The following is a 19,511-nucleotide window of genomic DNA, read 5'->3' on the forward strand; positions in this document are numbered from 1 at the left end:
TCTCAAAATAATAAGAGCTATTTATGACAAACCCACAGCCAATATCATACTGAATGGGCAAAAACTGGAAGCATTCCCTTTGAAAACTGGCACAAGACAGGGATGCCCTCTCTCACCACTCCTATTCAACATACTTTTGGAAGTTCTGGCCAGGGCAATCAGGTAGGAGAAAGAAATAAAGGGTATTGAATTAGGAAAAGAGGAAGTCAAATTGTCCCTGTTTGCAGATGACATGATTGTATATTTAGGAAACCCATCGTCTCAGCCCAAAATCTCCTTAAGCTGATAAGCAACTTCAGCAAAGGCTCAGGATACTAAATCAATGTGCAAAAATCACAGGCATTCCTATACACCAATAACAGACAAACAGAGAGCCAAATCATGAGTGAACTCCCATTCACAATTGCTTCCAAGAGAATAAAATACCTAGGAATCCAACTTACAAGGGATGTGAAGGGCCTCTTCAAGGAGAACTACAAACCACTGCTCAACGAAATAAAAGAGGACACAAACAAATGGAAGAACATTCCATGCTCATGGATAGGAAGAATCAATATCGTGAAAATGGCCATACTGCCCAAGGTAATTTATAGATTCAATGCCATCCCCATCAAGCTACCAATGACTTTCTTCACAGAATTGGAAAAAACTACTTTAAAGTTCATATGGAACCAAAAAAGAGCCCGCATAGCCAAGACAATCCTAAGCAAAAAGAACAAAGCTGCAGGCATCACGCTGCCTGCCTTCAAACTATACAACAAGGCTACAGTAACCAAAACAGCATGGTACTGGCACCAAAACAGATACATAGACCAATGGAACAGAACAGAGCCCTCAGAAATAATACCACACATCTACAATGATCTGATCTTTGACAAACCTGACAAAAACAAGAAATGCGGAAAGGATTCCCTATTTAGTAAATGGTATTGGGAAAACTGGCTAGCCATATGCAGAAAGCTGAAACTGGATCCCTTCCTTACACCTTATACAAAAATTAATTCAAGATGGATTAAAGACTTAAATGTAGACCTAAAACCATAAAAACCGCAGAAAACCTAGGCAATACCATTCAGGACATAGGCATGGGCAAGGACTTCATGACTAAATCACCAAAAGCAATGGCAACAAAAGCCAAAGTTGACAAATGGGATCTAATTAAACTAAAGAGCTCCTGCACAGCAAAAGAAACTACCATCAGAGTGAACAGGTGACCTACAGAATGGGAGAAAACTTTTAGAATCTACCCATCTGACAAAGGGCTAATATCCAGACTCTACAAAGAACTTAAACAAATTTACAAGAAAAAATCAAACAACCCCATGAAAAAGTGGGTGAAGGATATGAACAGACACTTCTCAAAAGAAGACATTTATGCAGCCAACAGACACATGAAAAAAAGCTCGTCATCACTGGCCATCAGAGAAATGAAAATCAAAACCACAATGAGTTACCATCTCACACCAGTTAAAATGGCCATCATTAAAAAGTCAGGAAACAACAGGTGCTGGAGAGGGTGTGGAGAAATAGGAACACTTTTACACCATTGGTGGGACTGTAAACTAGTTCAACCATTGTGGAAGACAGTGTGGCGATTCCTCAAGGATCTAGAACTAGAAATACCATTTGACCTAGCCATCCCATTACTGGGTATATGCCCAAAGGATTATAAATCATGCTGCTATAAAGACACATGCACATGTACGTTTATTGTGGCACTATTCACAATAGCAAAGACTTGGAACCAACCCAAATGTCCATCAATGATAGAGTGGATTAAGAAAAGGTGGCACATATACACCATGGAATACTATGCAGCCATAAAAAAGGATGAGTTCATGTCCTTTGCAGGGACATGGATGAATCTGGAAACCATCATTCTGAGCAAATTATCACAAGGACAGAAAACCAAACACCACATGTTCTCACTCTTAGGTGGGAACTGATCAATGAGAACACTTGGACACAGGGTGGGGAACATCACACACCAGGGCTGTCATGGGGTGGGGGTAGGGGGGAGGGATAGCATTAGGAGATATACCTAATGTAAATGATGAGTTGATGGGTGCAGCACACCAACATGGCACATGTATACCTATGTAACAAACATGCACGTTGTGCACATGTACCCTAGGACTTAAAGTATAATAATAAAAAAAGTAGATACTTTAATTAAAAATATTTTATTATAAAACAAATAGTAACAATAGAAAAAATTATTACTGGTCTATATTGTCTATGGATAACAATAAGGGTTTTCTCCTATGCTTTGTCAAACAGAAAGATGAGTGTAAACATCTGAAGAATCTTAAGGTCGAGATTTGAAAGTCAGTGTCATTGAAATAATGATCCTCGTAATCTTTTCTTGTGATATTTTTACAACGGGTGCTTGATAAAGAAAAACAAAAGAGAAAAAGATGCAACAAACACCCGGAAAACAAATGATTCCTGTTTTTACCCCTAACCCACTGAGAAATTTTAAGTTAAAAAAATCTAGCTGTCACACATATCATCACTATAATTAGACTCTTCTGTGCACAACAGCAAATTATCTTAGACAATTAAAAATATAATGTATTAGATTTATGGGTTGTGTTTACTTTTACTCTCTTCTGACTTGCATGTATTTTGTGATGAAGAAATAATGGAGAAATGATTCATTAGGATACATAGATTTTCTAATCCATATATATTATTGTATCTTCATTTGTAATTTGAAGCAGGTTTTAAAAAAATCACTTGTTTTACTGAATCATTTTAGTTCTCAGTTTAAAAAATCTTCATTTTCTTCATTCATTTCCTAAGAAAAAGTAGTAAGATCTTAATGTGATGTGCACTGTACCTTTAAATGATTGTTTGCAACAGCATCATGTAAGGGCAGAATTCCATCTATATTTTCACAATTAACCTTAGCACCAGCTTTTAATAACTCTACAATTATATCAATAGATCCTTCATTAGATGCCTCATGAAGTGGTGTCCAACCTAAAAAAAGAAAAAGAAAAAAAAAAACCCTGCTTCATGCGAATCAATACTCATGTAATATCTGTATTACTAAGGTTTTGTTGCATTAATGCAATATCCATATTGATTCATATGTATATACTAAGTATTGAACAAGAAATAATACAAAAAACTATGGACTTATAATTTATGTTTAATTTTGGAAACAAATTGGTCTCATCACAAATATTTGTTGATATAAGTGCCAAAGCAAAAGACTCACAGAATGCAAAACACAATGAGAGTAAATACTACTCATTTTGATTTGTTTCAACTCAGATATTAAAACGTCTGACTTTCCTATGTGTATCTTTGCATTGCCACATTTCTCTTTAAAATGACACCTGGTTTAATTAACCTTTGAGTTTTTCCCTGTGGAATTCTTCAGAGAAGATTCTTTTGTGCTTAAGCAAAATGTTAGGTAAATTTTTCATAGTTTTAGAATAAAAATAAAGAGAGAAAAAGGAACAGTATAAAAGGAGGAGAAAAGAGAAGAAGGGATAGGAGAATGAGAAAATTCTGCATTCTCATCAAAGTTACAGGATAAACTTGAGGCTTCCAAGGAAAAGGCCTAACTCCCTTTACTCCCCGTTCTGTCTACCCTCTCTGATGCTCCCAAATGGATGTTAAAAACTGTTTCAAAGGAAAAAGGTCTTTTAACAATGATAAATCTTAGTATTCAACTAAACACTAATATAATATAAAAAAGATTGTTCAAAGTTATCACTTACATATCAGCCAGGAACAAATTGGAGGGGGCAGGAGGTGTTGAAATGTGTATTTCAGTGAGTTCAAATTATAAAGGTAATTAAATTAAAAGGATCCAAACCTGCATTATCATTTAGATTCACATCTGCTCCAGATTCTATCAGGGCTTTCACTAGGGGCAGATTTCCTCTTCTGACAGCTAAATGAAGCTGGCTTTCCCCTCTGGCATTCCTCTTGTTGATCCTACCTGCTTTCATTCCTGTAAATTTGCCAAACAAGAGGTTTATTTTCTGCCAAATGCTGATTGTTATAAAGGATCTTAGAAAATACATAACAACTTCCTCAAAATACCACACTACACAGAAACATATATCAATTAATGTTATCATTGCTGTTATTGTTTTAATATATAATTTCTGAAGAAATAATAAGCATCTAAGCACATTACTTTGTATTCATTCTAGCAGTTGATTAATCACTCTATCAAACACTTGATTAAAACAAATTAACTTGCTTCAGTTCTATCTATACTCATCTAATTCTCAGTAGTCCTTTAATAATGAATAATATTTTTCTCAAGATAACTGAGATATTATAAAAAATCATCTTTCTACAGCCATTCTGTATCTCAATGGGTGTATTCCTGATCACATAGGTGCCAAGTAACAAACTATGGCCTATGGTTTTCCATTTTTCTTTCACAAAATGTGCTGTACAATATCATTAACCAAAGATTTTGTTTTTTAAATCTCTTCCTTGCAATACAAGTTAGACAGACTTAAGTTGGAACTAAAAGTAATGAACTGATCATGTTTTCCCCCTATTTCCTGCCAAAACCATGCTAAAATGACAGTAAAAGAAATTTTAAAGTACCATATTAAAAAAATGAAAGAGGAAACAATAAAGGACAAAGACTTCAACACATTTGGGGGGATTAGAAAGTCAATGATGGAGAACAGTGAACTGACTTGGCAGAATGGGGAATGCTCCAACACAAGTGCCTGCAAAGGGAATTGTAGAGAGAGAGCCAATCTGAACTCACGCACTCCACACTTGGGGAAATGAGGCACTATGGAAGGCAGGTGTGTGGAACAGTGGGCGTGGGCGCTGGGCAGTTGGTTAATATCTTTTATATAAGATCTTTTACATAGAAAAGTTGGGACTCCAAGTTTCCTTCCCCAACCCTCAACTGACTAGCAACCACTTCTCTTATCCCAGATCTCCGACCCAAAGCCAGGAACCTGAAGGTTTGTTTTCTATAGAAACTGCATCAGGGCCAGGCACGGTGGCTGATGTCCGTAATCCCAGCATTCTACTAAAAATACAAAACTTAGCCGGGCATGGTGGTGGATGCCTGTAATCACAGCTACTCTGGAGACTGAGGGAGGAGAATCATTAGAACCTGGAAGGTGGAGGTTGCCCTGAGCCAAGACTGCACCACTGCACTCCAGCCTGGGCAACAGAGATACACTCCGTCTCAAAAAAAAGAAAAGAAAAGAAAAGAAAGAAAGAAGGAAGGAAGGAAGGAAGGAAGGAAGGAAGGAAAGAGAGAGAGAGAAAGAAAGGAAGGAAGGAAGGAAGGAAGGAAGGAAGGAAGGAAGGAAGGTAGGAAGGAAGGAAGGAACTGCATTAGAGAAGCTTCAGACTGAGATGCAAAGCAAAATAAACGGATAGGGTGAAGAAACAGAAAATATTCGTTAAATCAGTGGTATCGGCACCATGGAGGAAACTTGTTAGAAATGCAAATTCCCCAGTCCACTCCAAACTTACTTTGGAGGACAGACTAAAATGGCTCCTAATGATCCTCACCATCTGGTATTTATGACTTTGTGTACTCTTCTTCTCTTGAATAGCTTGCTTCTAACCAATAGAATATTTCCATATTGAGGGTATTTCATTTAACTGATTAAGTTAAAAGAGATTGTAACATTTTCTGTCCTGCTAGCAGACTTGCTGTATTGCCTTCAGCTTGTAAGTTTTGATGATGCAAGTAGCCATGTTGGAGAAGCCCACCCAGCAAGAAACTGAGGATGGCCACCAGCCAATCACCAGTGAGGAACTGAGGCCCTCAGCCAACCATCCTCAAGAAATTGAATTCTGCCAACAATCACATGAGCTTGAAAGTGTATCCTTCCCTAGTAGAGCCTTCAGATGAGACCCCAGTCCTGGCCAACACTTTGCTGCCTACGAACAATTCTGTTAGAGGTCCCAACTAAGCCATGCCTGATTCCTGACCTACAGAAAGTATGAGACAATAAGTGTGTAATAGAGACAACTACTGAATCAGATTCTTTGAGGGTAGGGCCCAGCAATCTGTGTTTTAACAAGCTTTTCAGGTAATTCTGATGCAAACTAAGGTTTGAGAATCACTGCATTAAACTTTGGGACAATCTTCTTGCTCTACTTCCTAAATGTCATCAACCATGCATATGGTTTCAGGGCAAGAGATAAAAAGATTAGAGAACCATTCTCTAAAAAATGGATTCTTGGGTTATATGAATCACAGGGAAGAATAAGTCTCATATATCTCTTCCACTGGCACCCAGACAAAAACATATTGCTCTTTAGAGATTAGCAATCCAAAATTCTTTATTGGAAGAATTGAAAACTTATGTGTGTGTGTGTGTGTGTATATATATACATATGAGAGACAGAGAATATATTTGAAAATTATATCTCAGATTGCAGGCCTGCAGACTGCAAGTTTGAATAGAAAAATCTCTCCCAGCTGGGCACAGTGCCTCACACTTGTAATCCTTGCACTTTGGGAGGCTGAGGCAGCAGGAGTTTGAGACTAGCCTGGGCAACATAGGGAGATGACATTTCTTAAAAAAATTTAAAAATTAGCAGGGTGAGTGAGTCGAGATCGTGCCACTGCACTCCAGCCTGGGTGACAGAGCGAGACTCCGTTTCAAAAAAAGAAAAGAAAAAAAATTAGCGGGGTGTGGTGGCATGTAGTCCCAGTTACTGAGGGATGCTGGGGTGGGAGAATCATGTGAGCCTGGGAGGTCAAGGCTGCAGTGAACTGTGATTGTGCCACTGCTCTGTAGCCTGGGTGACAGACAAGACCCTGTCTCAAACAACAACAACAACAAACTCTCCCAATAATTCTTACTGTGGATGGTATAAATTCTTGTTCCTGGTGTGTTTGTAGCAAAGAAGGTAGCCATGTAATATACATTTTGGAGCAAAAACTCAAAAACTTCTCAATGTTACTAACATCATAAGTTTGTACAGCATTTGACTAAAAACATAAAATAACAAAATCTGATAGAAATTCAAAAGGAAACAAATAGTACTCATCCTAAACCTCTTCAAAAACTCCACTGTAGTTTGGAATCTGATGTTACTATTAATAAGTATAATGCTATTAAATACTTAGATTTCTCTCCATTATGTGACCAGTTTTTTCTTCTCGGAAGCTTTCAGGATCTTCTCTTTATTCCTGTTCTAAAATTTCAGTGAGGTGTCTTGTTCACTGTACTAGACACTAAGTGGTACTTTCAATATGGAAATGCCTATCTCATTTCTTGTATTCTTTCTTTAATGATTTCTTCTACTGTTCACTCGCTATTCTCCCTGGATTTCCTGGAGTGATCTTTAATGTTCTTATCTTTTCTCTCCTATTTTCAGCTTTTTCTTTTTTTGTCCTTAGTAGACTTGTAAAGCTTTGCCTTGTAACCCTGCTGCACATATCTATATATTATCTATTTATTTAAATTTCTGTTTTCAACAACTAAAAGCTCTGTATTGTTCTCTTATTGTTCCCTCTTTTCTATACCTTTTTGGAAAAAATATTAGATGCTTCTTGATTCTTGTATAGTTTCTGTTTCTTCTGGGTTCCTTTGGTCTGCTTAGTTTACTTTGATATCTTTCATATTGGTGTTTTCTGCAAATACTTGTCGATTCTTGACTATCTGTTCATTCATATTTTAGTGAGGAAAACTAAAATCCTAATTGGAAATCTGTGGAGGGTGAGGGGAATGTGGCAGAACTTGGGCATAGTTGAATTCACTGTTGGGTGATCAGCAGGAGGTAAGCCTGCCATTGTTTTAGGGAATCCCAGATGTCACTATCTAAAATTCTTACCTCTGGAGCAGTTCAATTCTCTGCTCAAGTGGCTTACAGTCTGGTGGAATAATAGACATGTTAAAAATTACATTTAAATATGATTAAGTGCTGCTAGAGAGGTGTGAAGTTTCCTGTGGTAGCTGTAACAAATTACCACAAACTGGGTGACTTAAAACAACAGAATGTATTCTCTCATAGTTTGGAAACCAGAAATCAATATCAAAGTGTCAACGGGGCTGTACTCCCTCTGGAAGCTCTAGGAGAGAATATTTCTGTGCCTCTTCTAGCTTCTGATGGCTGTCAGCATTGCTTGGCTTCCTTGGCTGTGGCTACATTGCTCCTTTGCCTTCATCTCATCATTTCTTCTGTGTGTTTCAAATCTCCCTGTGTTTGTCTCATAAGGACACAGTAATTAGATTTAGGGCCCACCTGGATAATCCAGGATGGTCTCCTTATCTTAGGGTTCTTAACTTGATTACATATGCAAAGAAGGTAATAGGCATGCTTTTACTATATAAGGTAATAGTCACAAACTACAGGGATTAGGACAGGGCATGTTTTGGGGGGCCAGCATTCAACCCACTATAGGAGGTATGTATAAGAAGGATTTCAGTTTACATGAGAGGGGGAAAATGAAAGAATATTCATAGAGAATGCCTAATTCAGTGTCCTTCCTACCTCTTAACAGACAGTATGTAAATCAACATTCAGTGAATAATGTTTAACCTGAAGTGGTCCAGCCTATTGTTTATGACAGAACTATCTCCAAGAACTATCAAAGGATGCTTAGCTTGTCCGTACTGTGAAACACACATAGTTCACTCATCTGACACAAAACAAACTAATGGCTATGTTTCTTTAATTTCCCTTATGTTAAAAGGGCTGAATGGAAGTATCTAAAGAATCTGATACATTTCACGCCTGCTGTCCCCACTGAATATTCTTGCTGTGTCTGCAGTTTACCTTATCTCCTCTAATATAATAAACTAGAAGTCATAGAAAGAAGTATGACATGAATATATTTAAAGATTATTGGATTATCAAGTGATGCCTTAACAACAAATATTGCTGAAATAGTCATATAAGTCAGTGAATAACTACAAAAAGAAACAATATATCTGAAAGTTTAGAAATTCCTTGAAGTAGAGTGAATTGCTGGGCTTGATTTTGTAAACTTTAACCTATACAATTATAGGAATACAAACCTAGGTTGCAGGTAGTTTTTAAGAAACTTTGTCTTTTTCTGAAATTCTGAACTGTTTTGTGTTCTTGGCTATTAGTAGGCATGTGAATTTCTGACTCCGTTTTTTCTTTTATCTCCTCACAATTTCTTATAGTTATTTCATCTCCACTGATGTTATTAGTTAATTCCTCATCTGAAACAAACATTTTACAATATCAGTGTTGTTGTTCTCCTACCTGGTTATACAATTAGAAAATAAAATTTCTAATTTTTTAAAGTTTCTGTTCCACACTGGACTGTTTAAGAAAATGGAAGCTTTTAAAAATGTTTTTATGTAACAGACAAAAAGTTTGCTGGTTGCAGCTCTGATGGGAATATAGTAGATAGTTGAAATGAATAGACCTAACAATTTCCTGCTATCAAAATGTTGTTAGGTTTCCTGATGCTCAATAAATACTATATTAAAAAGCAACAGAAAGAGTGATAGAAATACTGTTTATTCAATCAATGGGGAAAGGATTCCCTATTTAATAAATGGTGTTGGGAAAACAGGCTAGCCATATGCAGAAAACTGAAACTGGAACCCTTCCTTACCCTCAGGGGACAAAAATTAACTCAAGATGGATTAAAGACTTAAACATAAGACCTAAAACCATAAAAACCCTAGAAGAAAACCTAGGCAATACCATTCAGGACATAGGCATGGGCAAAGACTTCATGACTAAAACACCAAAAGCAATGGCAACAAAAGCCAAAATTGATAAATGGGATCTAATTAAACTAAAGAGCTTCTGCACAGCAAAAGAAACTATCATCAGAGTGAACAGGCAACCTACTGAATGGAAGAAAATTTTTGCGATCTATCCATCTGACAAAGGGCTAATATCCAGAATTTACAAGGAACAAATTTACAAGAAAAAAACAAATAACCCCATCAAAAAGTGGGCAAATGATATGAACAGACACTTCTCAAAAGAAGACATTTATGTGGCCAAAAAACATGAAAAAAAGCTCATCATCACTGGTCATTAGAGAAATGCAAATCAAAGCCACAATGAGACACCATCTCACGCCAGTTAGAATGGCGATCATTAAAAAGTCATGAAACAACAGATGCTAGAGAGGATGTGGAGAAATAGGAATGCTTTTACACTGTTGGTGGGAGTGTAAATTAGTTCAACCATTATGGAAGACAGTACAGTGATTCCTCAAGGATCTAGAACCAGAAATACCATTTGACGCAGCCATCCCATTACTGGGTATATACCCAAAGGCTTATAAATCATTCTACTATAAAGACACATGTACATGTATGTTTATTGTGGCACTGTTCACAATACCAAAGACCTGAAACCAACTCAAATGCCCATCAATGATAGACTGGATAAAAAAAAGTGGCACATATACACCATGGAATACTATGCAGCCATAAAAAGGGATGAGTTCATGTCCTTTTCAGGGACATGAATGAAGCTGGAAACCATCATTCTCAGCAAGCTAACACAGGAACAGAAAACCAGACACCACATGTTCTCACTCATAAGTGGGAATTGAACAATGAGAACACATGGTGAGGGGAACATCACACACCAGGGCCTGTCATGGGGTGGGGGGGCTACTGGTGGGATAGCATTAGAAGAAATACCTAAGGTAGATGATGGGTTGATGGGTGCAGCAAACCACCATGGCACATATATACCTATGTAACAAATCTGCACGTTCTACACATGTATCCCAGAACTTAAAGTATAATAATAATTATAAAAAAAACTACTGTTTATTACCATCAGTCAATATCAGCTTAGCAACCGTCTTTGATAACATCGTTTTGACTTTCGAAGTAATCACTGTTACTTAACTACTAGGTTTAGTGGCATCTCAAAATATGGCCCACATGTCCTCATTCTTCTCAGTTTGGCCATCGTTTGAATACAATTCAGTTGGAAATTTCTATAAAAATAAGTAAATCTATAGGAAATATGTACAGATTAAGCAATATTACTAATACCTGGTTTGTGAGAAATTTCCTTCTTTTCTCTTTGACTAAGTTTTGAGATGTTGGCCAATTCTTTACTCATATTGTCAGTGGAATGAGAATCTATATTGTGTATAGTCTCACTTTCTAGATGGTTTTGTCTCCTTTTTTCAACTTTAGTTGTTTCTATTACTTGAGAATGAGCAACTATGGATAAAGGCTCATTTGAATAAATTATTTTTTGGTCTCTGTCAATGTAATTCCTCTCAGTGTCACAATTCTTTGCCATCTTTTCCACAATATGTGTATCTGTTTGATTCATTAAAAAAGTTGGTGCTCTGGGAATATAATCCTGTGGCTTTTTGAATAGCTCCACATGATTAGTCAACTTTGAAGCCTCATGTGTCAAAAGTGTTCTCATACAAGCCAGGGAATTTTGCTCAGGATTGCCATTTGAGTGATCAAAAGAAGGTCCAAATATGCATTGTTCATAATTTGCAACATGTTCAGAAATAACTGCATTATCTGAATAAGAAAAATTAACAGCTTCCTGTTCTGGAAGTGTGGTTAGGCTGACTGCTTTTAACTCATTTTCCTGTGAAAGATGATCTTCAGAAAGTAAAAACTGTTGGAAACCCATTTCTTTTTTATTTGTTAAATTCTCCTTAAAATTATAGTGTTTTTTGCCACCTGTAGAACACAACACCTTTTTAGATGTTATAGCCTTCTCAGAGGTAGAGCAATCATCATCATCATCATTATCAGAATTTTCCTTTACAAAGGATAGGAAAGAATTTTCCCATTTGTTAAATCTCTCATCTTTTGGGACCAAGTTACTGTTTTCATGAGATTTATAAAGTACATGGTGTTGTTCCTGGAGAGTGTGAGGCTGCTTATCTGTAGTAACAACTGGTAACTTGATTTCTTTATGTAATAAAAGCCCTGGGAAAGAAACAGCTTCAGTTTGGTCAACAGATTCTAATTCCAAGCATTGAACTTCTTGACTATCTGATAAATCCAGGTTCTGGATGTGTTTCTCTTTGGAAACTGAACAAGCCTCAGTACTGCTATCTAATCCATTTCTCAGGCTTGACAGAGTTAAGCTGGAAGGTTCACACAATTCTTCTGGAAGGTCATTATGAGTTTCTGGAATATGCTGCTGATAGGTAACCAATCTGTTTATTCTCCTGGAAGGAGAGACAGCTAGTATCTTTCTTGGATTACAGTCTACATCATCTACTTGGGTCCTTTTATGTTGTGTTTTTCTTCTTCCTATACCTTTTGGTACGTTTGTGTTGGGATCTTTGACGTTATGGAGATTGCCCTTTCTGAGTCCTGTAGAGTATATCTGGTCAAGAGTTGATTGTTTATGCTTGGATTTACCAAATTTTGTGTTTTTGGGATCTTTTTGGTAATATTCATATACATCTTCTTTATTTATAAATAAACTCGCTTTGCTTCCTTTATTGACTTTTACATGTTCCAGCTTCTGTCTGTTGGAATTTTCATTATAAACATGCCAAATGTGACTTTTAGAACTGAACTTTGGTTTCTATAGAAAAAAAATACATAGTTAGCTTTAATTTTCAGCGGTAGTACTATATCAATTCAATCTGGATTATTGATAAATCAACTATTATTTGATTCAAACTATTATTTTCTAATTCAATCTAACCACAGATCCTGCTGGGATATAGCCAACCTGATATTTCAGAAATGCAGACTAATAGAAGAAAGGCAAATGTAATAGATTTAGACTCAGTATGTATACTAATCTTTACTTTCTACTGTAGATTTTAATTCCTTCTTGCCAGTATTGTAGCACTACTAATCTTATTAAACATAATAAATTTTAATCTACTTAATTTTTATATGCTTTTAAATTAATCAGATCAAAGTTTCCTTTACAAGGAAACTCTGTGTTGGTGTACATCTTTTGTGTCTAGTGGATGGGTGCTATTCCTTTGAGCTGTAAACAGCAAGAGAAAATCAAAGAAAGCAGATTCCAGTAGTCAGACTCTATAAACTTTACAAGAAGCTTTACACAAATGCTTTAGAAACACTCTCCTCTCCCAATTGTTATATAGGTGGAGCTAGAATTAGGGGTTTCTTCTTCTAGTATCTGGGAGAACTATGGGATGGAAGCAGAAAAATTGACTTAAAAACAGGAAGACAGATATACTCTTCAACTGGTCTGTATGAAAAAATTATTATGGGCTGCTAAGATTAAAACAGGAACACAGCTTCCTCTCATTCACACAACTCAAGTACTAGATGAAGAGTAACTGCCCACGATGTAAAGTTTGAAGGGATGGGCTAATACCTTTGACTCTTTCCTGTACTATGCTTAGGCCACAGGAAATTAGACATAGTTGATAAACCTTAAGCTCCATAAAGAGGAGGAGGAAGGAAATGGTTACCAATATATTAGCGTGCCCAGATATGCCATAAACTAACAGCCCAGAACCCTCTGATTCTCATGCAATTATTCTAGTGTCTTAAAAGCAAATGTGAAGTCATTATTACTAAAGCTTCAGCAGTCTTTCTCTTCCCTTTGACAATCTATGAAACAACCAGAAGTTACATCCCTATAAAAATGTTTATTACTAAACATAGATATACCTTGTGTTGGTACACATCCTCTATGTCTAGTGGGTCAATGCTACTCCTTTGAGCTGTAAACAAAAAGAGAAAATCAATGAAAACAGCTTCTAGTGTTTAGACTTTAGACTTCTAAAACCCACCAGTCCTTTGCCACGAGAAAACCAAGTGGAATAAGTGAAATTATGCAAACATTTTATATTAAAATTGGCACATACAACATTCCTATAAGTTCCATATTAGAAATCAAATACTATCTTAAGAGAGCTAAAATATTTCTATAGGGAAAGCAGAGCAGATCTAACAGAATAACTAATACTAAAGATTGGCACTAAACTCAGTATTTATTTTCCCCACAGATATATCCAGATATGACCTTTTTATTCAATAGATTATGTAACTGTGTGCAAGCTACTTTTATAAGGTGAAAAATTATTTTATAATTAATTAGATTATCATCTCCTAATATGCCTGCTTAATAAGGTCCTAATTGAATGCTGCATTCTCTTTAAAGTAAAACATACACAGATGGAAAAGGCCAACCGTCTTGTGAATGCACAGGGGGAAAAAGATTATTTTTAAAAAGCCTGAGTTGATAATAAAAGGAATGTATTTTAGTGTCTCTTCATAGCCTCCTTTATGTAATAAAAGTAGCATTAAAGTTAACTATATATGCATTTGGCTACAAAAGATAAAAACCTAGGAACAATGGCTTACACACAGGAAATATTCAAAGAATATTTGACAGAGGAAGGAATAAATGAATGAACATCTTGTATGTGATACATAACACAAATTTCCCTAAATATAAGCTAGAAATGTAAAATATTTTAATGAGGATGTAATTCAAAAACAGAGCAATTTAATTTATTTCTTGGGGATAACTTTCATGATAGCAATCAAATTATGAGCTGCATAATGAAGTATGACATTGATTCATTCACATTATACAGGTGAAAAAGTCAAACATAATGTCCTTTTACCAAGCAAAAAGGTGCTATTCCTTTGGAGCACCGTCTCTGGGGACTCAATCCAGAGTTTCAGTCTTGATTCTCATCTGCTTAGCAGCTGGCTGACCTTGAGCAAATTTCTTAATGTCTCTGCCTCCATAAAATGCCCATAAATGAAAGCTAATAATAGTTTCAACCTCACAGAATGGTGAAGATTGAATTATATAATCCATGTAAAGTGTTTACATGAATCCTAGGTATAGAGAAAGTGCTCCATTATTATTGTTATTATTATTTTCTAAGAGCAAAAGGACACTATACCTTCTCCAAACCTTTGATCTTAAATAAAAGAGTAGAAAAATCGTATTTTCCAGAAACCACCCTGCAAGGGACATGGTTCCTAAGAGAATCTGGAAGGAAGAACAGGGCTTTATTTTCTCTGAGTTTTAAGACTTTACATTCCCTAATACAACCAACTTAATACCCAGGTATAAATTCTGAGGTGGTGATATTTAGTGATATAGCTATATTATTTTCCCTCTGCCACTCTGAGTTCCCATAATGTACCGGGTACTGTGTTGAGATATTTACATATATTAACTTCAGTCCTCACATTAACAATCCCATAGGTATACAGGTAGATGCAGAGATATTATAAACCCAAGTTTACAGATAAGAAAATTAGGAATGTTAATTTACCCTATAAGCTTTATAGCCTATGAGGCTATAAAGTTAGGACTGAACCCTTGTCCTACATCAAAGTAGATATATTTTACTTTAAGCTAGAAAAGCAGCAAATATATTTTATATGAGGAAAGTTCTTTATTCATCATTCCCATACTTGAAAGTTCTTCATCTGGAACTTAAAAATGAATACTCTGTTTTTATTTATTTAAGTGAAATAATATTCTCTATTTACATACAAATATTCTTTACTTAAGTAACCTAATTTTGCATTCATATTGAAAAGTAGGCTGATAATTAATCATGGAATTTGAAAGTTTAAACTTAAGAAATATTCAAACCATCTGGTGAAGCATGATAACACAACCCATCTTAGTAAATTCTCTCACAAAGGAAGAGTGGGAGCTTAGTCCTATGGAGAAATGTTTGGGATTCCTTTACATGAAAGAAATTTCATTGGGTAGGAATAGATTAAAGTGGGCACTGGTGAAGAGGGTATTCTGGATTTGGAGAAAAGACTAGAATGCTGTAGGAAGCATTCCCAGAAGAGCAAAACAATGCATGTTGTAATTATTTAAAATAGAGAAGTCAAGCAGTTAAGCAGATTATCAAAGCAATAATTTAAAAATATACTTTTGCCTCCAACTGAATTTTATTTGCAATTTTCCATATAGTTTAAAATGTTAATACGATTGTTTTAATAATTTATCTTAATGTGCTTGTATAGACCTGGCTTCAACAAGTTACTGTCTGTCTCACTTCTCATGCAATTTGGCTACTTGGAAGGAAGTTTTTTGCTCTAATGAACCATTAATTAATTACCTCCTGGTAGCCTTCAATTATCAATGAAGTTTTCTCTTTACTATAAAAGTAGAATATTTTGATCCAGGACTTAGTTCTTGTCAATAGCATTCAGACAACTGCATTTCTTGATCAAGTATATGATTTATAAAATAAGTATCCATAAAATAATAAAATAGATCCACTAACCCTAAAGAAAAACTACTCTCACGACTGGTTGTTAGATTGCTCAACTGTACCTAATTTTCAATAACAGACACACCTAACAATAATTGGAAGAACTGTTTTATATTAAATAGAACCCAGCTGGGAAGGAGATTGATATGGTTTGGCTGTGTCCCCTTCCAAATCTTATCTTGAATTGTATCTCCCATAATCCCCATGTGTCATGGGAGGAACCCAGCGGGAGGTAATTGAATCATGGGGGCAGGTTTTTCTCATGCTGTTCTCCTGATAGTGAATAAGTCTCACAATATCTGATGGTTTTATAAAGGGCTGTTCCCCTGCACTTCTCCTTGCTGCTGCCATGTGAAGAAGGACGTGTTTGTTTCACTTCCACCATGATTGTAAGTTTCCTTAGGCCTCCCTAGTCCTGCAGAACTGTGAGTCAATTAAATCTCTTTCCTTTATAAGTTACCCAGTCTCAGGTATGTCTATTAGCAGCATGAGAACAAACTAATACAGAGATGTACTTTAAATTTCATTTAAAACCATTTAGATCGGGAAAAGATCTTTTCTAATAGACTTATCAAAGGGTTTGTGTTGACACTTAATCATTAACCAAGATAGATATGTAATATCTGTCCTGTTATCCTCCTGGACATGAAGGAGCCTGGGTTATGTGTCTTTTTTATGTACTCTCATAGGGCCTGAGCATTCTTTTGTCACATTCTTCATCGTAATTGCTGGCTATCCCTGTTTCTTATTCATCTTGTATTATCAGGCTTTGGCACTATTTAGTGTTTGATACATAGCAACCCTGATACAATGAATGAATGAATGAATGACTCTTCATAGAAAATAAATTCCAGTGGAGGTGGGTTAGAGAGCATCTGTTGTTTTGCCTGCCCAGCACATAACCTCATAGGCAGCTCTCTGAAGAGAGATACCATTGGTTCCTGCTGCCTAGATCCCTGGAGCTGCTTTTATTCTTGACCTTTCCAAGGTCTGGATCTTCAGCTTTTCCTTCAATTCTTGAGTTGTTCTGTCAAGAAACTCCCTTTTCAGCCTTAAGTTGATTACTTGCCACCAAAGAACTTTGAATTTATATTTGTATCAAAGAAGTGACAACAGCCACAGCTGTATTATTTGTCCCCAGGAAGACACAGAGCTTTAGCAGAGGATAGGTTTCCACCGCCAGCCTAAGTTTTGTTCTATTAAGGGAGAACTACAGGACATGTAGGGAGGCCCACTCACTTCATGGTGAGAAGGATTTTCAGATTAAACTTTCCTGCACACAAAGGGGGAACTGCAAAGGTGGAAGCCTTTGTTGTTAAAGGTAATAATATATAAAAGCCTTTGGGAGAAAATATCTGTTGGGGATTTTTTTTCATTAAAATACAGTTTAATAAATGGGAATGAAGCACATATGGATCTCTTGAATGGAAAGAATTTGTTTTTGTTTTTGTTTCAGAGGACTGACAATATTTATTCAATAAATATTTGCTGAATGCCTACTACGTACAAGTCACTTTAATATTAATCAGTAGACAAAACAAAGATCTTTTCCTTCATGGAGCTTAGATTCTGGAGGAAAAAGACAGAAAATAAAAAATAAGTCAACTGTCTAATGTGTTAGGTAATAAGTGCTATGGGGAATGTCTAAGCAGAGCAGGGTTAGAGGGAATAGAGTGAGTATAATGATTCTAAAAATATATGCATAGATTTTTGTGAATCTATGGATATATTTTTAATATATCCATGTATATTAAGAGGTGGAGCTTAATTCTGCTACCTTTGAGTGTGGGCCAGACTCAGTGACTCACTTCTAACAAACAGAATATGGCAAAAGTGATGACATATCACTTTTAAGATTAGGTTATGAAAAGACTGGCTTTTGTCTAAGGTACATTCTCTTCCTCTTAGGTCACCTGCTCTGAGATAGCTGCCAGGTTGTCAGCAGCCTTATGGAGAAGCTAATGTGGCAAGTAGCTAAAGCCTTCAGCCAACAACCAGCAATGATCTGAGTTTTGCCAACAATCATTTGTGAATTTGAAAGTGGATCTTCCTGTCCTAGTTGCAACTTGAGATGACTACAACCTGTGACTCTCATCTAGAACCACTCAGTTAAACTGCTCCCAGAATCCTGACCCTCTGAAGCTGTGTGAGATAAAACATGTTTGTTGTTTTAAGCTGCTAAGTATTAGGATTCGTTGTTACATACTGATAGATAACTAATATAGTGAAGGTAAGAAGGGGGCAGTTGCAGTATTAAGTAGGGTGGTCTAGGCCTCGTTGAGAAGGTGACATTTGAACTAAGACTTGGGGAGGCATATCTGAGGAAAAGCAAGGAGGCCAGCATGACTGAAGTTGAGTAATGGTGGTAGAAAGTACTGGTAAAAGGGGTTAACCAGTAGGGTGGCCAGCTGATAACAGGAACTTCTAGGCTATTGTAAGGATACTGGCTTTTCTTCTAGATTAAAGGGAGAGCCATTGCAGAGTCCTGAGCAGATGAATGTAGAGTTGTTACCAAAAAATCTAACAAATGTATTAGAGAGTATAAAGAGTATGTCATGTATTTAAATTATGTTTACATAATTTTTTATTGAAAACTATAGATCAAGTTCTTTTGTTGTTCAATTTAATAGAGCAGTGGATGAGAGGGAAAAAGTATAGCCATAAGAAAATATTCTTAGGGAATGAATATAAATAATCCTGGCCATTTTCACTGAAAAGGATATAACCAAAGGGGATCATATCATGTTATTTAGTCAAAGGATTTTGGGGAAAAGAAACAAATTTATAAAAGGTTTCTTAACTCTTTGCAATGTACAACCTGCAGAAAAGTATTACCTTTCTTTTTTCTTTTAGAGTCCTATGTGCATTTGCAAACAAGTCAGTGTGATTTATTAACAGAATGAAGAAAAGACACTATTGGATGGATTTTCTCAACACTCATGAGAAAAATAAATTTAATTTCTTTAATTCTAAATTAAATTTCTGTAACTTCACTGATGTGACAAATAGCTATTACAGGGCAGTTTAATCTTACCTGATGTAAGGCATTTTTGATGTTTAGGGATATATCTCTCAAGGAGACGCTTCATACATAAATCCTTGGCCTCATCCAAAGCACATTTTCCATCATCATTTCTAAATAATGGATCAGCTCCATTCAGAAGAAGTAACTCTGCCACCTAGAAAAAGGTTATTTATGTAAGGGAACCCAGATTGAGGGTGTATTACTGTGAATGTGTGCTAGCAGACTACTCTAAGTAACATCAAATATCTCTTTTGAAAATACTGTTTGGATTTATCTATAAATCCTTGTCCAATAAAAAAAGAATTAATGTAGTTGCTACTGAATTTTAATTTG

General features: G+C 36.0%; 1 protein-coding gene across 15 annotated transcripts in view; it reads right to left on the bottom strand.

Moving 5' to 3' along the window:
* ANKRD31 (ankyrin repeat domain 31) overlaps positions 1-19,511 on the bottom strand; it is a 168,582-nt gene that overhangs the window by 66,717 nt on the left and 82,354 nt on the right. For 13 of the 15 annotated variants that reach the window (NM_001372053.1, XM_017009319.2, XM_047417078.1 and 10 more), the window contains 6 exons: positions 19,188-19,332; positions 13,563-13,615; positions 10,974-12,492; positions 8,988-9,158; positions 3,833-3,970; positions 2,843-2,985 (listed from right to left, as the gene is read on the bottom strand). In NM_001372053.1, coding sequence (NP_001358982.1) covers positions 2,843-2,985; positions 3,833-3,970; positions 8,988-9,158; positions 10,974-12,492; positions 13,563-13,615; positions 19,188-19,332 — 2,169 coding nt within the window. The remainder of the gene's footprint in view (positions 1-2,842; positions 2,986-3,832; positions 3,971-8,987; positions 9,159-10,973; positions 12,493-13,562; positions 13,616-19,187; positions 19,333-19,511) is intronic. The other 2 variants (NM_001164443.1, XM_011543301.4) reach the window with 1 other exon arrangement.

The sequence above is a fragment of the Homo sapiens genome, chromosome 5 (assembly GCF_000001405.40).
Source record: "Homo sapiens chromosome 5, GRCh38.p14 Primary Assembly".
Lineage (NCBI taxonomy): Eukaryota > Metazoa > Chordata > Mammalia > Primates > Hominidae > Homo > Homo sapiens.